The sequence below is a fragment of the Homo sapiens genome, chromosome 6 (assembly GCF_000001405.40).
Source record: "Homo sapiens chromosome 6, GRCh38.p14 Primary Assembly".
In the NCBI taxonomy this organism is placed as follows: Eukaryota; Metazoa; Chordata; class Mammalia; order Primates; family Hominidae; genus Homo; species Homo sapiens.
In genome coordinates this window covers 57396301-57421964 of record NC_000006.12, presented here as the reverse complement: position 1 = coordinate 57421964, position 25664 = coordinate 57396301, and the positions used below count along the sequence as shown (strand labels likewise).

At 37.6% G+C, this 25664-nt stretch overlaps 1 protein-coding gene across 7 annotated transcripts in view; it reads right to left on the bottom strand.

Moving 5' to 3' along the window:
• Positions 1-25664, bottom strand: part of PRIM2 (DNA primase subunit 2) — a 425311-nt gene that overhangs the window by 224886 nt on the left and 174761 nt on the right. Inside the window, exon 8 of one of the 7 annotated variants that reach the window (XM_047418992.1) lies at positions 13704-23960. The exons of the other annotated variants lie outside the window; for them this stretch is intronic. Within the exon in view, the coding sequence (XP_047274948.1) occupies positions 23724-23960 (237 nt within the window). The 3' untranslated portion in view covers positions 13704-23723. Of the gene's footprint in view, positions 1-13703; positions 23961-25664 lie in introns of those variants that run through there. 7 annotated transcript variants of the gene reach the window in all.

The window sequence follows — 25664 nt, the reverse complement described above, 5'->3', positions numbered from 1 at the left end:
ACATCTTTTGAATCTTTCATCTGGTTCTAGTATCTTACATCTATTCTAGATGATTATTTTGAAGCCAGAATTCAAGGAGCACAGACTTTGATTTTCAGCAGATAAATTCTATCAGAATATCAAATGTAAAGAGACTGCTCTTTGAATGGAGAAAAGAAAAGCATACAAAGACAGTACTTCAAAATACAGAAAAATGAAAATCTTGAGTGGCAGAGACTCTAACCACCAATAGTCAAGCTTCTCATTTGGCAACATAAGAGGAAGTGGGATGGAAAGCTGAAATAAAAGGAAAGACAGCATGCAAATAGCTATCACTGAATAGTCTGGCAAAAATGTAAAGCAAGGTCAAACTGTTAACAATGATCATTGTAATACTTACAAAAGAAAACTCACATTCACAATAAAAACACAGATGTCACAAACATTTAAAATTCTCTAACATTTGCTTACAGCTTACATAATAAGGCTTAATGAACACTAAAATTGTAAAGCAAAATATTTTCCCAAGTTTTGCATACTAGAGAGCTGTTGCTTCATTAAAACAAAAGAATTTGATATATCAGTGCCATTACTCAAATAGACAAACTTAACAACTAGCCTGATAAAAATCTGTTAAGGAAAAAGATAGGGGTTGTGTCTCTGGTTTCAAACTTTATTTTGTGATTTGGGCTCTAAATATGTCTAATAAAATTTTTGACTCAAATTTTATTTAATCTCTTTTGTTCCAGATATTACTTTAGTCCTTTATTCACCACTGTAAGGTTTTGTTCTATTTTCTATGACTTTCTTGAAAATCACTAAATACAATGGCCTCTTCTCAGTCTTCATACTCCTGACTATCTGCTCCTTGGTCTACCATCTTTGAGCTTCTCTGAGTGCTCTTCCATCCTTCTAGAAGATTCGTTTTCAGATTTCTTCACTGTCTCCTTCCACCATCTGCCCTGTAATTGTGAAAAGCCTCTCCTTTCTCCCCATTTCATGCTGCTACCCTTAGTACTCTAATCCAATTTCAATGCAACCTTGAATAACTGTCACTACTATCCCTGATCTCTTTTCTGAATGCTAGAATTACATTTCCAATTACATGCCAGATATCTCCACAAGTGAATATTTCTATGGCATCTCAAAGTAAACATGTCCAAAACTAAAATCATTGTTCCATACCCTCCAACATCCAAACAGACCTACTATCAACATAGTTATTTTCCTTCCTCCTCCAATTCACCCCAAAATACAATCTGATACCAAGTCCCCATGGATTTTGGATCAATTCTTAGCCATCCTGGCAGATATCAAAAAGCCTCTGTCTTCATTTTGCTGCCTTATCTTCTAATCAACCCAGGACCAGCTAAGATTGTTAGCTGAACATGGAAGAAGCTGACTAGCAGAAAATGAGTTTATTAAAAGGCTACTAGGAAGCTCACAGAATTGTTGGGAAGATGAAATATTATTCTTTTTTTTTGAGATGGAGTCTCCCTCTGTCACCCAGGCTGGAGTGCAATGGTGCAATCTCAGCTCACCGCAACCTCCGCCTTCTGGGTTCAAGGGATTCTCCTGCCTCAGCCTCCTGAGTAGCTGGGATTACAGGTGCACGCCACCACACCCAGCTAATTTTTGTATTTTTAGTAGAGACAGGGTTTCACCACGTTGGTCACATTGGTCTTGAACCCCTGACCTCGTGATCTACCCGCCTTGGCCTCCCAAAGTGCTGAGATTACAGGCACGAGCCACTGTGCCTGGCCAAAAAACTATTCTTAAAGTTAAGCTTCCAGGCTCAAAAGAGGAACTAATTAGTTCTAAAACAGGACTAATTATTAATAGAAAATGGCCATCACTGCTGTTTAGCATCCCACAGAGTACTAAAGAAAACCACTCCCACTGTGGGAAATCAATCTAGCAACCACCAAAAAGACACTGCTGCCACCAAAGGCAGAAAGTCTCTGCTCACATCCACCACTGCCACCACCAAACACAAAAGCTCGATGAAGATTCTGTTTCCTCAGTTCCAAATCAAAGTCCTGTTCTGTTTCCTCAGTTCCAAATCAAAGTCCTGTGAGAGGTGAGTCTAATCAACGAAGTATAAGTCATATGCTTATGATCTGGTTACAAAAGAGAATGAGAATTTGAGTGCTGTCTTCTATATTGGTGGGAGTAACACTTACATTAGCAAGACATTTTATTTATTAAAAAAAAATTCCCAAATGTAAGACTTTATTCAAAAACCGAGGGTTAAATATGAATGCAACCACTACTACATACTACCCCTCCCTCCTGCCCTCATCTCCAATCCTATAATAAATTCATACAAAATCATACCAGAGTCTGGTAAATATATATTAACAGAATTGCTGGAACTGGACCCAGTCTCTAGCTCAGAGTATTTGGCTGGAGCCCAAATTCCCTGCCTGCATGATGCCAGCCACTATGCCCTAGGAAACCACACCTTGTTCCTAAGACCAGTAAATACTCCCTCCCTTTGTCATAGCTGGTTCCTCCTCCACACAGTACAGACCACCAAAAACCTCCTCAATGCCATTACAGGCTTTATAAATTGGAAATAACAAGAAACTTTTGTCACTGTATCACATACACCAAAGTGAACCCTATTGGACACCAAAACCAACCTAGAATAACCCTAAGTTCAACATACCCTTTGAATTCTAGGATATGGATGGCAACTCCCCGTAGTCTAACCACCCCATTCTCCAGAACCAGTCATTCCCCATCAATGGCCACCAAGATCCTAGGGCACATCTCTCACACTCGTCCCTCCCTCCTATCCTCACTGTCACCATTCCAGTCTGGGTCTTCATAACTTCTTACATGAATATTGCAAGAGCATCCTAACAAATTCTTCTACACCAAAGTTCCCCTTGTACCATCACCACTACAATCACACATGCATATAAAATTCACATCAAATATTTAATTCTCTGAACAACTCAATAAAGTAAAAGTAAATACAGAAAGCACTATGGAAAATGTACCCCAAAATAATTAAATCTCAGTATTCTAAAGTACATTCCTAGAAAAAAGGAGACCTACAATTTGTCCATCAGCCTCACCCCTTTTACACAATGAAATGTGAGTAGCAATACAAAAGATAATCAGGTTTGGCAAGCAGATAATTAATCTAGTTTCTAACTGGCATGACAAAAGTAAAACATGAAAGCTATTTCCTAAGTCCCTCTATAGAGACTGTGGACTGAGGAGGCAATCGTGAAATATTTAATGAATTAATAAGAATATAAAAATATAGGAAACAGGCCGGGCACAGTGGTTCATGCTTGTAATCCCAGCACTTTGGGAGGCCGAGGCGGGTGGATCACGAGGTCAAGAGATCAAGACCATCCTGGCCAACATGGTGAAACCCCATCTATACTAAAAATATCAAAAAAAAATTAGCTGGGCGTGGTGGCACGCGCCTGTAGTCCCAGCTACTCGGAAGGCTGAGGCAGGAGAATCGCTTGAACCCGGGAGGCAGAGGTTGTAGTGAGCCGAGATTATGCCACTGCACTCCAGCCTGGCAACAGAGTGAGAATCTGTTAAAAAAAAAAAAAAAAAAAAAAAAAAAAAAAAAACCACACACATAGGAAACATTACCTTATCCCATTACTACTTCTAAGCTTAATCTTTATTCATCCTATATCTTTTTAATTCGGCTCTAGGATTCTTTTTTTAAAACTTCCTTTTGACCAAAATAAACTTTGTTCTATTTGCGTTTCCTCCCTAAAATCTCCCCTACATTTTGTGGTCCTCTGCCTATTTTCTCCATTTACTCTTACTATCATAGCATTTTTACATGGCCATTTTTAAGCCTTCTTCTTTATAAGTACCTCCTATTCTCCCTTGTTTGTTGAGGCATTTTTTAAAGCATTTATTTTACAATACAATTTTCCTCAGAGCTGCGTTAAAGCAACCTTCTGGCTATAAGTATTCACATATTTGCAATTAGGATATATTCCTGTTAAAATAATGATTTATAATCTTTGTGCTCTAATTGATTAGCGAGGATCTAGATGGCTGCACATATACTTGCCAAAAGAAGAGAAATGCATGCAAGCATACCTCATTTCACCATACTTCACTTTACTGCACTTCAAATTGTGTTAAAACTGAACACAATTTGAAGGTCTGTGGCAACCCTGCATTGAGATAGACAATGGGCTGCATTTTTCCAATAGCATGTGCTCACTTCGTGTTTCTGCGTCACATTTTGGTAATTCTTGCAATAACTCAAACTTTTTCATTATTATTTTATCTGTTATGGTGATCTATGATCAGTGATCTCTGATGTTACTAATGTAATTGTTTTGGGGCACCATCAACTATGCCCCTATAAGATGAGCTTCATCAGGAAATATTGTGTGTCTTGTGGCTATTTCCCCAACCAGCCATTCCTTTGTCTCTCTCCTCTCCTTAGAGCTTCCCTATTCTCTGAGAAACAATAATATTGAAATTAGTAACTCACAATGGCCTTTAAGTATTGACGTGAAAGGAAGATTCTCACCTCTCTCACTTTAAATCAAATGCTAGAAGTGACTAAGCTTAGTGAGAAAGGTATATCAAAAATGGAGATAGGTTGAAAGCTAGGCCTCATGTGCCATACAGTGAGCAAAGTCGTAAATGCAAAGGAAAAGTTCCTGAAGGAAATTCAAAGTGCTAATCCAGTTAACACATAAATGATATGAAAGTGAAGGCCAGGCATGCTGGCTCACGCCTGTAATCCCAGCACTTTGGGAGGCTGAGGCAGGTGGATCACCTGAGGTCAGGAGTTCGAGGCTAGCCTGACCAACATGGTGAAACCCCGTCTCTGCTAAAAATACAAAAATTAGCCGGGTATGGTGGTGCATGCCTGTAATCCCAGCTACTCGGGAGGCTGAGGCAGGAGAATTGCTTGAACCCAGGAGGCGGAGACTGCAATGAGCTGAAAATGCGCCATTGCACTCCAGCCTGAGTGACAGAGCAAGACTCTGTCTCAAAAAAAAAAAAGAAAAAAAGAAGAAAGTGAAGTGAAGCAGCCATATTACCAATATAAAGAAAGTTTTAATGGTCTGGATGGACCACAACATTCCATTAAACTTAAGCCTAATCCAGACCAAGCCCCTAACTCTCTTCAATTCTATAAAGGCTGAGAAAGGTGGGGAAGCTGCAGAAGAAAAGTTGGAGGCTAGCAGAGATGGGTCCATGAGGTTTAAGGAGAGCAGCCATCTCTATAACATAAAAGTACAAGGTGAAGCAGCAAGAGCTTCAGAAGCTGCAGCAAGTTATCCAGAATATCTAGCTAAGATCATGAAAAAGCTGTTGTTTAGGTGGCTACACTAAACAACAGCTTTTTAATGTAGATGAAACTGCCTAATACTGGAAGAAGATGCCATATAGGACTTTCATAGCTAGAGAGAAGTCAAAGCCTGGCTTCAAAGCTTCAAAGGACAGGCTCATTCCCTTGTTAGGGGCTAATGCAGCTGGTGACTTTAAGTGGAAGCCAAAGCTCATTTACCATTCTGAAAATCCTAGGGCCCTTAAGAATTAGGCCAAATCCACTCTGCTTGTGCTCTAGAAATGGAACAATAATGTCTAAATAATAGCACATGCGTTTACAGCATAGTTTACTGAATATTTTAAGCCCACTGTTGAGACCCACTGCTCAGAACAAGTTTCCTTTCAAAATATTACTGCTTGTTGGCAATGCACCTGGTCACTGAAGAGCTCTGATAGAGATGTACAAGGAGATTAGTGTCTTCATATCTGCTAACACAATATCCATTCTGCTGCCCATGGATCAGGAATATTTTAACTTTCACATCTTATTATTTAAGAAATACATTTTGTAAGACTAGAGCTACTATAGATAGCGATTCCTCTGATGGATCTGAGCAAAGTAAGTGGAAAACCTTCTGAAACGATTCACCAATCTAGATGCCATTAAGAACATTTGTGATTCACGGGAGAGGAAATATCAACATTAACAGGGATACAGAAGTTGATTCCAACTCTCATGGTTGACTTTGAGGGGTTCAAGTCTTCAATGGAGGAAGTTCACTGCAAATGTGGTGGAAATCACAAGAGAACTCGAATTAGAAGTGGAGCCTGAAGATGGGACTAAACAGCTGCAATCTGGTGATGAAACTTTAAAGGATGTGGAGTTGTTTCCCATGGATGAGCAAAGAAAGTAGTTTCTTGAGATAGACTCTACTCCTGGTGAAGATGCTATGAACATTGTTGAAATGACAACAAAGAAGTTAGATTATTATATAAACTTAGTTTATCAAGTAGTAGAATGCTTTGAGAGGACAGACTCTCATTCTTTTGAAATAATGCAGCACACTGAATGGTTGTCTTATTTTAAGATATTGCCACAGACACTCCAACCTTCAGCAATCACCACTCTGATTAGTCAGCGGACATCAACATTGAGGCAAGACCCTCCACCAGCAAAAAGATTACAACTCACTGAAGACTCAGATAGATGATCATTAGCATTTTTTAGCAATAAAGCACTTTTAAATTAAGGTATGTACATTGTTTTTTAAAAGATGGTATTGCATTCTTAATAGACTACAGTATATTGTAAACATAAGTTTTACATGCACTGGGAAACAAAAATTTATATGGCATGCCTTATTGCAATATTCACTCTATTAGTCTCGAACAGAACCTGCAATATCTTTGATGTAGGCCTGTAATTCCTTTTCTTACTTTAACAAGTAAAAGGTGACTGAATAAGTAAATAAAACATCTATCTTTGTTTTAAAGATTAATTAGTGTTGCTTTTAGTGTTTAACAAATTATAGCTAGTCCATCCTTCTCTGAACTGACATAGCTCTTGGATATTCAGTGATTTTTTTAATGCTATACAAATTATCTGTTTATTTGTTCATGTCAAGTAGAAGAGTATATAAGTCACTTACATCAAAAATCCTGCCTTAAACCACTTCTAGTCTATACCTCATATGTAGAAAGCACTTCAGAAACATTTGTTTACATATTCTACAAATAACAAGTTGCTTTTAATTTCCATTTCTTTAATTACTTGAAAAATACTTCTTCAGTCTCTTCAAGACTTTTAGAGAAGTTATGCAACACAAGTATTAAGGGGAAATAAATATATGGGAAAATAAGTTCCTGAGGTAAAAGAAACAGAAATAAAAGAACAAAGGCATAAAGGCTATAAAATTTATATATATCATAAAGAAAGGCAAAGTAATTTTAGCTGTGTCAGAAATATCCAATACATAACAGTCCAGCAGGCTGATAGGCAATAAACAAGGCAATCAAAGAACTCTGATAATTAAGAAGCAATGTTTCATCCGCTACTACCATCTAGCTATTCAAAATCTGTGTTTCTTTACCAGGTTAGTAACAAAAGATTCATATATGGAATTATTTTGTAAGTACATAAAAATTCCTAAGATTAATAAGATTCCAGTGAAAACAATATTAACAAGTTGTCACCATAATTACATTAGAAAAATAAACAACTCTCATCACTAAATCCTTTCTTTACAGGTTTAAAGGTTTCTATTTTATACTTAATATTTATCCTTACAAATTGAGAACACCTCTCTCCCATTTTCTCTTTTAAGTAGTTCATTCAATAAACACTTATAGAACCAGTATAATATGCAAAGCAGTATGGTAAGCATTAGGGATACCAAGATGGATCTATGTTTCTCAACTGTCATAGAAATATTCATGTTCTTCAAATAAGTATCATTTGTGCATCCTTTGAAGAAGATATCAAAAGGGATCTCTTAACATTCTATATTATGATATTATTTGGGCTCTGAACTGAATTCAAAAGAAAAAGCTCAGGTGCACCTCAATCCTTCCCACAGCAGATCTCAACAGAACTTCTTCCTATACCATGACTTATTCCCCACTTAACCAAACGCTTGTTTCCCCCTTAACTAAATGAAGTATTCTGCCTAGTCCACATCAATGTAGTCATAGCAAGTACCCCTAACTTTACCTTTAAGCATTTCCTGCTGTTTATTTGCCTTCTTGTCTAACACTTAAATTTTAATGTGGGACTAGTTAAAGCATCTGTACTCTTCAAAGCCCTGGTAAGAATGCTAAGTGTATAGTAGCTTCTCACTGAATACTGCATAGATGAGATAAATACATAAATCCCAAGATACACAGTCAAATCACATGTCTACTATAATGTTTTACAACAGTATTAATATATTGGAATATTTGACACTTTGATGATTTTTTAATGTTAATTCATATATCCTCCAGTAAAATTTTAACTAATACAGCAAGTTACTTACGTTCTTAAGTCTCATATTTCAGAATTTGCTACAGCCCCTCCTTTCTATGTAAATGAGTAGCTTCCTTTTCATCTTTACTCCCTGGATGTTTATGACCAAATGTGAAGCCCAAGCACAGCATCCATGCTGATATTCAAGAGTTATGAGTTGTCCATTAGTTCTAATTTTCTATTTCTTTTACTATCAGGTTGGTGCAAACATAATTGCAGTTTTTGTATTGTTGGAATTTGCCATTTGATATTGGAATACATATTTCGGTCAATGGATTTTATTATAAGCTGCCTTGATGTTTTAGGGAAACAAATAGGTTATAAATAAACTTACCTACTATGGAAAAGTTATATACCAAGTTTATATTTAAAAATTCACATTTTCTTTTATCCATCAAAATACACTTCAATTCAAATTTATTCCCCTCCATTTTTTCCTTCTCCCCTAAGTTTCTGTTAGACAACTATCAAATTTACTGTAAAGACCAAATTTTCTACCTTCACATAGTTTGAGCTTCACCGCTATTTTCTTTCACTTCTTTCAAATTACTGCTTTTGAGTGGATCAATATCATAGTTGCAAGGCTGAAGTGGTCTCTTTTGCCATGCTCCAGATACCTATTTTTAGTTAACAGGTAGCTACTCCCCAGAAACTTTCAACAATGATAGAAGCCACAAAAAACTAACTTACAAGCATTGAGGTTCTTTTATTAAGCTTATGAAGTGTTAGTACATTTCGAAGAAAGGAGAAGATAAGACTATGGTTCTTATACTCTATATCACTCTATCCATTTCCCAGTAACGTAATGAAATTATTTAATACAAACTAAAACTACTTTCTCTTTCTTCATGGCATACAGATTTTATATAGCCTTATGCCTTTGTTTTTCCATTTCTGTTTCTTTTATTACAGGAACTTGTTTTCCCATATATTTATTTCCTCTTAATATTTCTGTTGCATAACTCTTCTGGGTGACTTGTCTAAAACTTTTCAAGAAAATTAAAAAATTATTTCCCAAGTAACTAAAGAAATGAAAATTAATGCAATAAGTTACTACTTTTACCCATCATGTTAGCCAAGATATTTAACTGTAAAATCCTGAATAATTGAAGAGTTGAACCAGCTCTTCTCGTATATCATGTGGAGAAGTACAAACTGAAGTAGTATAGATAAAAGCCGTTCCATAAATGTATCAAGAGCTTCAAGACATTTCGACCCTCTGACCCAATAATTTAATTTATAAATCTACCTAAAGAAACAAATCGTAAATAAAAACAGAGGCTTACATAGGAAGTGCTCATCACAGCATTATATGTGATTGTAGAAAATTGCTAACAGGGTAAAAGTCTAATATCAATAATTAGATAAATAAAACAAATATACTTATATTATAGACAAATATTCTAAATCCATGTGATAGATTACACAGTCATAAGCATGCTGTTAATAAAAATTAAAATATTGAGAAAATGCTTGTGCATGTTAAGAAAATGAGTTCCAAATGTTAAATTCCATATTATCTCAACAATAAAATCTACATAATGATTTTGTCTTCATGCAGTCTTGTACTCTCCAAATTTTCTACAAAAAGGCTTAGTGTTTTAAAATTAGCATACTTATATATTTGTTAAAACCACAGAGCTTTTTCCCTATGTTCTCAAAAAATCTTAATATTAAAAATATTTTAATTATAAAATATTAAACCAGCTTATAAGACAAACCTAGTTAAGATCTATTTTAGACAAAACTTTAAAATAGAGAAAAATGTTGGCAATTTAAACAACTCTATATATTACATTATTAAATTGTATTATTTATACTATGCTGCTATATAAATTGCATACTTAAGAAGGAATATACTTCCCAACTCATTAACAAGGTCAGCATTACCTGATACCAAAATCAGATAGCCCTTACATGAAAGGAAAAGTCTAGATCAACATCCCTCATTGGCAGTAAAGCAAAAATTCAGTAATATATAAAAAAAGGTAATATACCTTGACATAGTAGGTTTATCCCAGGAATGCAAAATTGACTTAATATTGTTTTAATCAATGTAATCAAGTACACATTCACAGATTTTAAAAAATTTAAACAATATTGTCAACCCAGTAGATGAATAAATGGTCAAGGCCTCACTCTGTGGCCCAGGCTGCAGTGCAGTGGTGCAATCACAGCTCACTGCAACCTCGACGTCTCCAGGCTCAGGTGATCCTCCCAAGTAGCTGTGCCTACTGGCCTGCACCACCACATTCATTAATCATACTTTTTATAGAGACAAGGTTTCACCATGTTGCCCAGACTAGTCTCAAACTCCTGGGCTCAAGCAATCCACCTACCTCAGCCTCCCAAAGTGCGAGGATTATAGGCGTAAGCTACTAGGCCTAGGCAAGACTGGGTAATTTATAAGAAAAGAGGTTTAATTGGATCACAGTTCTGCAGGCTATACAAGAAGCATAGCGACATCTGCATCTGGGGAGGCCTCAGGGAGCTTTTACTGATGGAGGAAGGTCAAGCAGGAGCAGGTACTTCACATGGTGAGAGCAGGAGCAAGAGAGAGAGAGTTGGGGGGATAGGTGCCACACACTTTTAAATGACCAGATCTCAGGAGAACTCATTACCATGAAGACATCACCAACCATGAGAGATCTGCCCGCATGATCCAAACACCTCCCACCAGGCCCCATCTCCAGCTTTGGGGATTATATTTCAACATGAGATTTGGACAGGGACAAATATCCAAGCTATATCACATTGATAACCAAAAAAAAAAAGCAAACGAGAAACAGAAAGAAGCTTCCTTAACCTGATAAAAGGCCATCTATGAAAAACCAATAGGTAATATCACACTTAATAGTGACAGACTAAATGTATCTATCCTTAAGTTCAGGAACAAGACAAGAATGCACACTCTCATCACTTCTATTAAACATCGTAGCAGAGGTCCTAGCCAGGGTAATTGGCAAGAAAAATAAATAAAAGGCATACAGTTGGAAAGAAAAAAAATAAAACTATATTCACAGACAACATAGACATCTATGTAGAATATACCAAATAATCTACCAAGAGGCTACTAAAATTAATAAGTTTAGCATAGTTACAAGACCTAGAAGAGCCAAAACAATTTTTGGAAAAAGATCAAAATTGAAACACTGACTCTACCTAATTTCAAAACTTATTATAAAGCTACAATAATCAAGACAGAGTGATACTGTTACAAGGACAGACATTTATATCAATGGAACAGAAAAAAGTACAGAAACATACCCATGATCAAATTATTCTTTACAAGGTGAAAAATGGGGAATCCAATGAAAAAGAAAAGTCTTTTCTTTTCTTTCTTTCTTTCTTTTTTTTTTTTTTTTTTGAGATGGCGTTTCACTCTGTCACCCAGGCTGGAGTGCTGAAGTGCAGTGGTGCAATCTCAGCTCACTGCAACCTCTGCCTCCCAGATTCAAGCAATTCTCCTGCCTCAGCCTCCTGAGTAGCTGGGATTACAGGTACCCGCCACCACAGCCGGTTAATTTTTTGTATTTTTTAGTATTTTAGACAGGGTTTCACCATGTTGACCAGGCTGGTCTCAAACTCCTGACCTCATGTGATCCACCCACCTGGGGCTCCCAAAGTGCTGGGATTACAGGCGTGAGCCACTGGCCCGGCCCAGTCTTTTCTACTAATAGTGCCAAAACCAACAAGGAAACCAACAAGGAAAAAAAAATCAACATGTCTAAAACCTAACCAAAACATGGGTCATAGAGTTAAATACAAGAGCTAAAACTATAAAATTTCAAAAAGATAATACAGGAAAAATTCTTCATGCTCTTGGGTCAGTTGAATACTTCTTAATAAAAGTAAACCATAAAAGAAAGAAACTGATAAAATAGACTGAATCAAATTGTAAAACTTTGTTGCTCTTCAAAAGACATTGTTAAAACAAAAGGCAAACCACAGACTGGGACAAAATATTTGCAACACACACACATATTCAAGATATGGAAATTAAAAGCACAATGAGATATCATCATACATCCATTAGAATGATTAAAATTTAAAACTGACAATATCAACTTTTGGCAAGGTGGTAGAATAACTGGAACACATACACTACTGGAGATGAACATATCTATCCACTTTGGAAATAGTTTGGCAATTTCTCATAAAGTTAAACATACTTTAAACATATTTATTGGTCAGCCCAGCAATCCTCCTTAAAAGTATTTATCCAGGCCAGGAGCAGTGGCTCACACCTGTAATCCCAGCACTTTGGGAGGCCAAGGAGGGCGATCACGAGGTCAGGAGATTGAGACCATCCTGGCTAACACGGTGAAACCCTGCCTCTACTAAAAATACAAAAAAATTAGCCGGTGCGGTGGTGGGCACCTGTAGTCCCAGCTACTTGGGAGGCCGAGGCAGAAGAATGGCGTGAACCCGAGAGGCAGAGCTTGCAGTGAGCCAAGATCGTGCTAGTGTACTCCAGCCTGGGCGACAGAGCGAGACTCCATCTCGAAAAAAAAAAAAAGTATTTATCCAAATATTCACAGCAGTTTTATTCATAATAGCCAAGAACTGGAAACAATCTAAATGTCCATCAAGTGGACATTTGAATTGGGGACTAGATAAACAAATTGTGGTATATTCATACAATGGAATACTACCTAACAATTAAAAAGAATGGAAAAAATGTTTTAAATTAAAAAAATAAAAGAATAGAAGAATGAATTACCAATACATGAAACAACATAGATGAGGCTGAGATGGGAGGAGTTTGAGACCAGTCTGGGAAACACAGCGAGACCCTGTCTCTACAAAAAATTTTACAAATTAGCCAGGTGTACTGGTATGCACCTATAATCCTAGCTACTTGGGAGGTTGAGGCAGGAAGGTCCCATGAGCCAGGAGATCAAGGTTGCAATGAGCTATGATTTCACCACAGCATTCCAGTTTGGGTGACAGAGTAAGACCCTACCTCTAAAAACAACAACAACATAGATGAATGTCGAAAGCACAATGCAGATCAACAAAAGCCAAATGCAGAAGAATACATAGTGTATGATTCAATTTACACGGAATTCTAAAACAAACAAAATTATCATGACAGAAACAGATGAGTGTTTGCCCAGGGCCAGGGGTGGAGGGAGGAAATTAAATGCTAAAGGCTATTTATTGTACAAAAGCACAATAAAATCTTCTGATTTGTCAATTTACTCCCCCAACAAATCTACTTTCTCATGGCATTTATTATGCATTTATTATGTGGGTGGCTATGTGAATGACATGCCTGGTCAAACCAATCACCTGAGCCATATGCAAATCAGACACCGTCTCCTCCAGCCTCTTCATATACCTGGCAGGTTTCCACCACACTGGGGGTCTCTTCTCTCAGCTTTGGAGCCCCCTCTCCCTCTGGCTCTGTAAAGGGGCGCTTCTTGCTTCTTTCTTCTCCCTTCTGTCTTGCCTATTAAACTCTCCGCTCCTTAAAACCACTCCACATGCACCCATGTCATCTTATCTAATTGGGCATGAGACAAGAGCCCTGGTGTTCTTCCACTCATCGAAGCCATATCACAATGATTGGCACATTTATGCTCACCAACACGTATCCAAAGTGGGGAAAAAAAAGGAATATTTGTGCCTGCTTCCCACAAAGGGGGAGAGTAACATCATTAAAGATCACGAGCATAAAAATTACAGATACAGGTACATTGGCTTAGAATTCTGTGACCTTGGATAAGTTACCCAACCTTCCCAAGTTTCCCTCTCTGCAAAATTCATGCAAATAACCATCTCATAACGTTGCCAACAGGGTTAAATTGAGAACACATATAATACATCTAATTGTGTCTGGTACACAGTATGTGCTTATTAAAAAATTAGAAACCTGCCTTCACCACCACTACCACCACCATCATCATCCAGCAAGCCAATTCTTTAACTAATCAGTTCAGAGGCTCTTGACCTCAAAAGAATGATTTAATGCCACATGAAATTGAAGGAGAAAATACACAGTTTCAAATTCTCTTTTTCTCCCTGCTCTTCACCCCATGTGGGTGTGCCACTGTGTACCGCCTCAGGCCTAACCCGCAATATGCAAATGATACGTATTTGAAGGATAAATAAATTCCTTAGGCAAAGTGCTAAAAAATAACAGTGGAGGCTGCTCAGCCTATAAAGTAGCCATTCTTTATTCCTTTACTTTCCTAATAAACTTGCTTTCACACACACACAAAAAAAAAACCCACACTGGAAACATAAAACAATGAAGCCATTTAAGTGAAAAAAAAAATCTGTGACTTTCAGTATGTCATTTTTTCAGCCATCTACAAGAAGTACAGATTATTTCCTTCTTAATATTTTGAACAAAATTCAAATATAGTCCAAAGGATTAATGAAAATATACTTACAAAACTTTAAGCTACTTAGAAGAAAAGATTATAAATGCAAATTGTTATTCTCTTTCTTTGAGATTATAGTTGCCCCGCCAAAATCCAAAAAGGTATATTCATTTTTTCCTCAAAGATTGAACATTATTTCATTTCCTTTCCATTATTTTAGCCTTTAATAGTCAATGTTATAACTGTGGAGTTTTTGATGACACAGTTAAAGAAGATAACATTCGGGTTACCAATCTTGTTTACCATTCTTTTGTTTCAAATTTATAAGCAAGTAATCTGTCTTCTATATCTTTTTCCAGGTTCAGTTATCTGTTTTCTAGATCATTACCTTATTCACACCTCAATTTAGTAAACTCAATGACACTGTTCACCTGGCTGTTTTGCAACTCAACAAATACAATCTTATACATGAACAAAATCATAGTGCCACAAGGGACAACCGCAACCAGAGCATAAGTACTTTCCATGATATTTCTGAAGTCTCATAACTGTATGTTAGGTCTCTCTTTTAAAATGTAGGCATGAAAAATATAAAATTATTAAAAATAAGATTTTATACAAAACAGCAAGAGTCTCATAAAACATTTCCTTCTACTCTTAGTACCCCTTTAAAATTTTAAGGGAAACCAAGCTTGTTATTCTCAATTCTCTCATTCCTTGGTTATTTCCAATCAACTAGTCTCAGACGATTTTCATTTTTTGTTTTTATTTTTTATTTGAACTTACACATTACTCTCCTAGAACTTGTTGGGTAACATTTTCTGCACCACTCCAATTTTAGTATATATACTGCCTACTTAAGTTCACAGGGTTCTCTCTGTCACTCGGATAAAGATGGAAAAGCCTTATTAAGATTTTCATTTCTGAGACACAAGACTCTCAATGCATGTAAATCAGAAGATGGATTCTGTACTCCTTGACAAATTCCTAAACGTATATGTGCAATTAAACAGACAAGCAGTGAAAATTGAAGGTACAGAATTAGAAACCATGGACGGTACTCATCTGTCTGAATGGAGCAGGCAGGAAGATAGATGTCAAGCCTCATTATCAGCAAGGGTATGGACAAGGAAGAAATGAGAGAACTTAAAAAATTTAAGAAGGAAAAAAAAAGCAGTGGTCTTACTCCCCACTCCCTACTCCCTAAAAAAGACAAGGTCAAGGGAATGCTTACATCTAAGAGAGAGCCTTGCAAAATCCAGCTCAGACCTGACGTCTCTGAAGCTCTCTCTGCAATCCCCAGACAAGTCCATCACTCTATTTTCTGTGCTGCCTCTTTACCTGGTACAGACTTCTCTTTTTATTGACCACACATATGATGACTGTTTATATGTCTCCCTGCTTACTCTGAACTGATTTTAGTTGAAGAATTGGCTTGCTGGGTGATGATGATGATGGTGGTACTGATGATGAAGGCAGGTTTCTAATTTTTTAATAAGCATATACTGTGTACCAGACACAATTAAATTTCTCATATATGTTCTCAATTTAATCTGTTGGCTGCCACCTCTCACACATACTAGGCACCCTGAAAGCTTAAACATACCTATGTCTCCCATGTTTTTGCCTGGCACATAGTGGCTACTCAGGAAAAGTTACTTAAAGGTTATACTACTATGACAAAAATAAATGGCAATCAGTTATAAAAGAAAGTTAAACCACACACTTCTTTTTAACATTTATTCTTGCTCTGGCACATAATTATTAAGCATCACAGGTAAAAATCCAGAGCTGGGTAATTTAATATAGGATGTGGCCAATCCTATTACTATGAGAAAGTTAGTTTAATTAATACAGTATTTTACTTTGGTTTAAATTCCTATGTGTCATGTGTATGTGTTTGCATATGTTTCTCTCTTGTTCTTGCTCTTTCTCTCATTAATGATGAATCAGAAAATTTTGAGAAAACTGAAACTCAAAGGCATATACATAATCATTACTTTACAATGTCCAGTCACTGTTAAAAATTACACTCTCAGCACTTTATCAACCCTGTAACATTTACATATGCCCAGCTCCCCTGTGCAAAATTTCTAAATTGGAAAACTAACAGGTGATGCATCTTTCTTTGTAGTGACCGAAGAAATTTTTGCTGTATGAGAGTAGACGTGTCAAAGAACTGAATTTACAAGTACCCCTCCCCACCAAAAAAAAAAACTATTTCAGTATTCAGCTGTTTCCTAGCAACTGAATCTGCTGATACTTTCTCATCACAAGTAGGCATAGGGATAAAATCTGTGTTTCAGTGCATTCAGGTGTCAATGAAAGCAACACAGCTCAGTGAAAAAAAAAAGGATAAATAATGTATAAAAATATTAAGTATTTTCTAGCCAATCTAGGCTGAAGCTTTTAAAATGGGTAATTATAATTCTTAAGTATGATAAATGATCTGGAAAATTAGAGTTTATTATAAAAAGTATAGGGGGTCTGATCTTTTCCATGAATGAGGAAAGAGAAAAAAATCCACAAAGGTGACCACAAAAATAGCAACCCAAGGATTACTCTGGAGAGTTCAACCATGAAGAAGGAAGCTGCTCCTTGCAAGGTAGCTAGACTTTAAACCTGGTTTATGCTGCATCATAAATTTTGAAGCAAAATATAAAATTCACATCTTACATACTGCAGAGAAAAACTGTCCAGTGAATAACAGCTTGAACTACTGCAGCCAACTGCAACAGTTCTTCAGGAGTTTTCCGAGTTCATAAACATTTGCAATTGGGATTTCAGAAATATTCTGCATGTACAGCACTTCACACATATTATCAGGTATACAGTTTAATCTTTGCTTTTATAAACAGTACACTGAGGTGCAACCCCAAGTTACTTTAGTTTTCTCAACAAATCAAGAGTATGCAAACATGCAGCTCTCACAAGGTAATTCATCAGATCCTGAGCATCTACTCCATAAGGCATTGTGCTGGGTATCAGAGATCACTAAGTTGAATATAACACAATCTGTACCCTGGAGCTGCTGAAGTATTTAAAATATGCAATGGAAACACCTGCTTGAGGGTAAATCAGAGAAAGCAGGAGAGGCAACAAACTATAGTAGAACAGGCAATGAACTTGAGTTTCGAGAGACATATAGCAAAAGACCCAGGTCTTTCACTAATGAGCAATGTGAGTTCTTGCAGGCCGCTCAACCTTTCTGAGGCTAGACGTTCATGGGCAAAATGAAGAGGCCTGCTTGGTAAGTTTTATAGACAGCCTCTTAGAAAACACTTTGCTAAGTACTACCATGAATAATAGAACAAGCAAATATATCCATTGGCCTTTGAGAGGTAATAAGGTCATGAGAGTTTGCTGCTTCTTTCTCTGCTCTCAACCATTTGAAGATACAATGAGAAGACAGCCATCTGCAAACCAGGAAGCAGGCCCCCACCAGCCTCCAAAATGATGACAAAAGTCTGTTGTTGATGTTGCCCAGTCTGTGATAATTTGTTACAGCAGCCCAAACTAAGACAATATCTATAAGCCTACAGTTTTTTATAGTCTACTTGCCAAGGAAGAGGGCAAGATAGCACACAAATAATTACTACACAAACTCTAAAATGCTTTCCTCCTCTAAAAATTATTTCTATATGATAAAATTTACTGGCAACTAGAAAACAAAGAAAACTTGAAATGAGAGAATCATTAAAATTCTTGCCAATATTTTCCATAATTATGAAACACAGAACTGTGCAAAGCACTATAGAGAGAAATAAAAGGAAAATCCAAAACTTCTTAAAATATTCTTCACATGGGCCAGGCGCGGTGGCTTACATCTTTAATCTCAGCATTTTGGGAGGCCATGGCAGATGCACCATGAGGTCAGGAGATTGAGACCATCCTGGCTAACATGGTGAAACCCCGTCTCTACTAAAAAATACAAAAAAAAAAATTAGCCGGGTGTGATGGCAGGCGCCTGTAGTCCCAGCTACTAGGGAGGCTGAGGCAGGAGAATGGTGTGAACCCGGGAGGCAGAGCTTGCAGTGAGCCGAGTTCGCGCCACTGCACTCCAGCCTGGGCAACAGAGCGAGACTGGATCTCCAAAAAAAAAAAAAAAAAAAAAAAATTCTTCACCTGAACTATCCCTTCAAAGAAACACCTAATATACACAGCACTTTGGAATTTTCAAAAAACTTTCATATACAATACTGACTTCTGTAATGAATGAAACCAGTTCTATCAAAAACCTAAAATATTTCACTAAAACAAGAAAATAACTTTTATCCAATACTATTCCATGAATATTGCCAATAGCTTTGTTTTTCTAAAATAAAATTATGTGTGTATATATAATGTGTAATTTTTCTGTACATACATATACATATGGAGAAAAACATGAAGATGTTTCATATCCCTATTGCTAAAACACATCTCCAACAATAACACCAGTAGCTGACAATGATTCTAAACTGGATATGTGCAAGAGGAACTACTGAGGTGGGGAAAGAAATTACTAATATGTATTTCTATTTTTCTCCTTTTTAAAACCCCCATTTTATATTGCCTACATCTGTGGGCAGGGGTAATATTTTAACTGAGGGGACACAATCAAAAGTTTAGAAACCACCAGCACACACACTAAAATTCAAACTCATAAGCTTGGTAATACTTACTTTGACAATTTGATCTTCTGCTATTCTTATTCATAGACATTAAACCATACCAATCATACCACTAACACCATTCCCCAAACATAGTTATACTTTCCAGCACCTAACCATTTACATCTACTACTCTCTGTAAGCTGCACATCTCCATTTACCCAAATCATTTAAAGCCAGTATCAACTCTATCTTTTCTCAAACTTCTCTGAACTTAGGTAATACAGCTCTCAGGCTACTCCTCTCTTTCACCTTGTCATTGAGTCCTTTATGGACATCTTAGCTCCCCCCACTACAAAGAGAGTTCTTGAGGACCAGGGTTATGTCTCATCAACTTCCCATTTCCCAGACCTAGGCACCATGCAGTAAACTTGACATATATTAGAGAAATGTGGGGTCTCCAGCCACCAACTACAGGTGTGTTTGGGCAAGCAACAGGTCCATACCTTGCTGGCACAGAGCTCCCAGAGGAAGGAGCAGACTACCATCTTTGCTGTTTCACAGTCTTCACTGTTGATACCTCCAGGTACTGGAAAATCCAAGGTGACTAGGGACTGGAGTGGGCCCCCAGGATACCACAGCAGCCCTATGGAAAAGTGGCCAGCCTGTTATGTAGGTGCATGTTCCCATATTATCTCCTCACTGGGCAGGTCCGCCAGGCCTGGGCCTCCAGCCACCCCCTGCCAGATATATCAAACCAGTAGCAGCTCTGCAACTCCCTGGACAGAGCAACCAGGGGCAACTGAAAGCCTCCCTGCCACTGCCTCTGCAGCAGAACTGCCCTTGCTACCCTCAGACTAATGAAGGAGCAAAGACCCTCAATGCCTTATCCATACCTCCAACAAGCTGCAGTTGAGCCAAGGGGAGGAGACCAGTCCATCTCCCATGGGTTCCACCTACCCACCCCCAGTGCTCATCACCAGACAGAGAACCCCTGGCTGGGGCCACAGCACAGGCCCTCCATCCTGGGCTGATTGCACTGGGTGATTGCAGACCTGCACGTCTCTGGAGTGGAGCCCCCATGAGACAAGCAAAAGACCCTTGGCACAAACACTACTAAGGTCCCTTTCTCTGCTGTCTCCAAGATGGGGAAGGAACATAAACACTGAGCACATCCAGAACTGCACTGGGCAGGCCCAGGAGTGCCAAGCTGCAATCTACAGCCAGCACTCAAAGGGGAGAGGACCCCACACATTAAGAGGGAACATGGCTCCACCTGTAAGGAAATATAAGGGAGCCACAAAACCAAGCAAGAGTCTACCAGCTGATTAATATGCCTAAATGTCACCTACCGCATCACACCCCAAAGCTTCAACACCAGAAATAGCTTGCTAATATACCCTCCTCTTAAACTAAAGACAAGAAGTCAGCTTCACATCAAGACCCTGCACAAAGGCTTGGCCCTGTGAAAACACAAGAAAAGAAGTCTATTGACTTCTCAATAGACTACTGACTACTCGATCTACACTGAGGTTAAAGTAACAGCCATATGCAGAGATGAGAAAGAACCAAAGCAAGAACTCCAATAACTCAAATGACCAGAGTGACGCATGTTCTCCAAACAACCACATCAGCCCTCCAACAAGAGTTGTCAACCAGGCTGAGCTGGCTGAAATGACGGAAATAAAGTTCAAAATATGGACAGGAATAAAGATCATCAAGACTCAAACCCAATCCAAGAAAACTAAGAATCACAACCAAATGATAAAGGAGCTGAAGGAGGAAATAGCCAGTATAAAAAAGAACGTAACGCATCTGACAGGGCTGAATAACACAATACAAGAATTTCACAATCCAATCACAAGTATTAACAGCAGAATAAACCAAGCTGAAGAAAGAATCTCAGAACTTAAAGACTGGCTCTCTGAAATAAGACAGTCAGACAAAAATAAAGCAAAAAGAATAAAAGTAGACCTACTTTTTTGTCCATTCCTACAATGCAATGAACAAAACCTCCAAGAAGTATGGGATTATTCACTTTTATCCCTGAAAGCGAAGGGGAAAAAGCAAACAACTTGGAAAACATATTTCAGAATATCATCCATGAAAACTTTCCTAATCTTGTGAGAGAGGCCAACAGTTAAATTCAGGAAATACAGAGAACTCTTGCAAGATTCTACGTAAGAAGATCATCCCCAAGACACATAATCAACAGATTTTCAAAGGTCAAAATGGAAGAAAGTATGTTAAAGGCAGCTAGAGAGAAAGGACATGTCACCTACAAAGGGAACCCCATCAGGCTAACAGCAGATCACTCAGCTGAAACTTTACAATCCAGAAAAGATTAGGGGCCTATATTCAATATTTATTAAAGAAACCTTCAATCAAGAATTTCACATCCAGCCAAACTAAGCTTCCTAAGTGAAGGAGAAATATGATCCTTTTCAGATAAGAAAATGTTGAGGAAGTTAATTACCACCAGCCTGCCTTACAAGAGATCTTGAAAGGAGCATTATATATAGAAAGGAAAGACTGCTACCAGCTAATACAAAAAGACACTTAAATACACGGATCAGTGACAATATAAAGCAACCACACAAACAAGCCAGCAGAATAACCAGCTAACAACACAATGACAGGATCAAATGTACACATATCAATACAAACATTTAATGTAAATGGACTACATGTCCCACTTCAAAGGCACAGGTGGCAAGCTGGATAAAAAAGCAAGACCCAATGGTATGCTGTCTTCAAGAGACCCATTTCTTAATGGGTCTCGTAATGACAACCATAGGCTCAAAATAAAGGAACACACATCTGACAAAGGGCTAATATCCAGAATCTACAATGAACTCAAACAAATTTACAAGAAAAAAAATCAAACAACCCCATCAAAAAGTGGGCAAAGGATATGAACAGACACTTCTCAAAAGAAGACATTTATGCAGCCAAAAGACACATGAAAAAATGCTCATCATCACTGGCCATCAGAGAAATACAAATCAAAACCACAATGAGATACCATCTCACACCAGTTAGAATGGCGATCATTAAAAAGTCAGGAAACAACAGGTGCTGGAGAGGATGTGGAGAAATAAGAACAATTTTACACTGTTGGTGGGACTGTAAACTAGTTCAACCATTGTGAAAGACAGTGTGGTGACTCCTCAAGGATCTAGAACTAGAAATACCATTTGACCCAGCAATCCCATTACTGGGTATATATCCAAAGGATTATAAATCATGCTGCTATAAAGACATATGCACACGTGTGTTTACTGCGGCACTATTCACAATAGCAAAGACTTGGAACCAACCCAAATGTCCATCAATGATAGACTGGATTAAGAAAATGTGGCACATGTACACCATGGAATACTTTGCAGCCATAAAAAAGGAAGAGTTCATGTCCTTCGTAGGGACATGGATGAAGCTAGAAACCATCATTCTGAGCAAACTATCGCAAGGCCAGAAAACAAAACACTGCATGTTCTCACTCATAGGTGGGAACTGAACAGTGAGAACACTTGGACACAGGGTGGGGAATATCACACACCAGGGCCTGTCGTGGGGTCAGGGGATGGAGGAGGGATAGCACTAGGAGATATACCTAATGTAAATGATGAGTTAATGGGTGCAGCACACCAACATGACACATGTATACATATGTAACAAACCTGCATGTTGTACACATGTACCCTAGAACCTAAAGTATAATAAAATAGATAAATAAAAAATAATTAAATAAATAAAGGGATACAGGAATATCTACCAAGCAAATGGAAATCAGAAAAAAACAGGGGTTGCAATCCCAATTTCAGACAAAACAGAATTCAAACAAAACAAAAGATAAAAAAAAGACAAAAAAGGGCATTTCATAACGGTAAAGACTTCAATTGAATAAAAGACCTAACCATCCTAAATATATATGCACTCAACACAGGAGCACCCAGATTCATACAGCAAGTTCTTAGAGACCTACAAAGAGACATAGATTCCCACAAAATAATACTGTGAAACTTCAACATTCCACCAACAGTATTAGACAAATCATTGAGGCAGAAAATTAACGAAGATATTTAGGACCTGAACTCAACACTGGACCAAATGGATCTGATGGACCTCTACAGAACTCTCCATCCAAAACCAATAAAATATACATTCTTCTCATCACCACACAGCAAATGCTCTAAAAGCGACCACATAATTGGACATAAAATATCCTCAGCAAATGCAAAATAACATAAATCATAACAAACACACTCACGGACCACCATGCAATAATAATAGAAGTCAAGACTAAGAAAATCACCCAAAACCATGTGATTACATGAAAATTAACATGCTTCTGAATGACTTTTGGGTAAAAAATGAAATTAAGGCAGAAATTAAGAAGTTCTTTTAAACTAATGAGGGCAAAGATACAACATATTAGAATTTCTGGGATACAGCTAAGGCAGTGTTAAGAGGGAAATTCATAGCACTAAATAGCCACATAAAAAGTTAGAAAGATTGGCCAGGCGTGGTGGCTCATGTCTGTAATCCCACCATTCTGGGAGGCCGAGGCAAGCAGATCATGAGGTCAAGAGATCGAGACCATCCTGGCCAACACGGTGAAACCCCACCTCTACTAAAAATACAAAAATTACCTGGGTGTGGTGGTGTGCATCTGTAGTCCCAGCAACTCAGAAGGCTGAGGTAGGAGAATCGCTTGAACCCGGGAGGCAGAGGCTGCAGTGAGCCGAGATCACGCCACTGCACTCCAGCCTGGAACAAGAGCAAGACTCCGTCTCAAAAAAAAAAAGAAAGAAAGAAAGAAAGATCTCACAGCCTGGCAACAGAGCAAGACTCCGTCTCAAAAAAAAAAAAAAAAAATTAGAAAGATCTCAAATTAGCAACTTAATATCACAACTGAAAGAATTAGAGAAGCCTAAACAAATCAGCCTCTAAGCAAGCAAAAGACAAGAAATCACCAAAATCAGAGCTGAATTGAAGGAATTCAAGACATGAAAAACCATTCAAAAGACCAACAAACCCAGGAGTTGATTTTTTTTGCAAACTAGTTCACCAGCAATGGATCCAAAACAAGAAGAAATCCCTGATTCACCTGAAAAAGAATTCAGGTTAGTTATTAAGCTAATCAGGGAGGGGCCAAGAAAGGGGAAGCCCAATGCAAGGAAATCCAAAAAATGATACAAGAAGTGAAGGGGGAAATATTCAAGGAAATAGATAGCTTAAAGAAAAAAAATCAAAAATTCAGGAAACTTTGGACACACTTTTAGAAATGTGAAATGCTCTGGAAAGTCTCAGCAAATAGAACTGAACAAGTAGAAGAAAGAAAACCAGAGCTTGAAGACAAGGTCTTCAAATTAACCCAATCCAACAAAGACAAAGCAAAAAGAATATGAAAATATGAACAAAGCCTCCAAGAAGTCTGGGATTATGTTAAACAAGCAAACCTAAGAATAATCAGTGTTCCTGAGAAAGAAGACAATTCTAAAAGCTTGGGAAACATATTTGGGGAAATAATAAATGAAAACTTTCCCGGTAATGCTAGAGACCTAGACATCCAAATATAAGAAGCACAAAGAATACCCAGGAAATCCATCACAAAAAGATCTTCACCTAGGCACATTTTCATCAGGTTATCCAAAGTTAGGATGAAGGAAAGAATCCTAAGAGCTGTGAGACAGAAGCACCAGGTAACCTATAAAAGAAAACCTAACAGATTAACAGCAGATTTCTCAACAGAAACCATACAGGCTAGAAGGGATTGGGACCCTGTCTTCCACCTCCTCAAACAAAATCATTATCAGCCAAGAATTTTATATCCAGAAAAACTAAGCATCATATATGTAGGAAAGATATAATCTTTTTCAGACAAACAAATGCTGAGAGAATTCACCATTACCAAGCCACCACTACAAGAACTGCTAAAAGGAGCTCTAAATCTTGAAATAAATCCTGGAAACACATCAAAACAGAACCATTTTAAAGCATAAATCTCACAAGACCTACAAAACAAAAATACAATTTAAAAAACAAAAACAAAAAACCAAGATATACAAGCAACAAATAGCACAATGAATGGAACGGTACCTCACATCTCAATACTAACATTGAATGTAAATGACCTAAATGCTCCACTCAGAAGATACAGAATTGCAGAATGGATAAGAATTCACCAACCAATTATCTGCTGCCTTCAAGAGACTCACCTAACACATAAGGACTCACATAAACTTAAAGTGAGGGGTGGAATAAGGCATTTCATGCAAATGGACACCAAAAGTGAGCAGGGGTAGCTATTCTTGTATCAAACAAATCAAACTTTAAAGCAACAGCAGTTAAAAGACAGAAACAGGGACATTATAGAATGGTAAAAGGCCTTGTCCAACAGGAAAATATCACAATCCTAAACATATATCCACCTAATACTCAAGCTCCCAAATTTATAAAACAATTACTAAT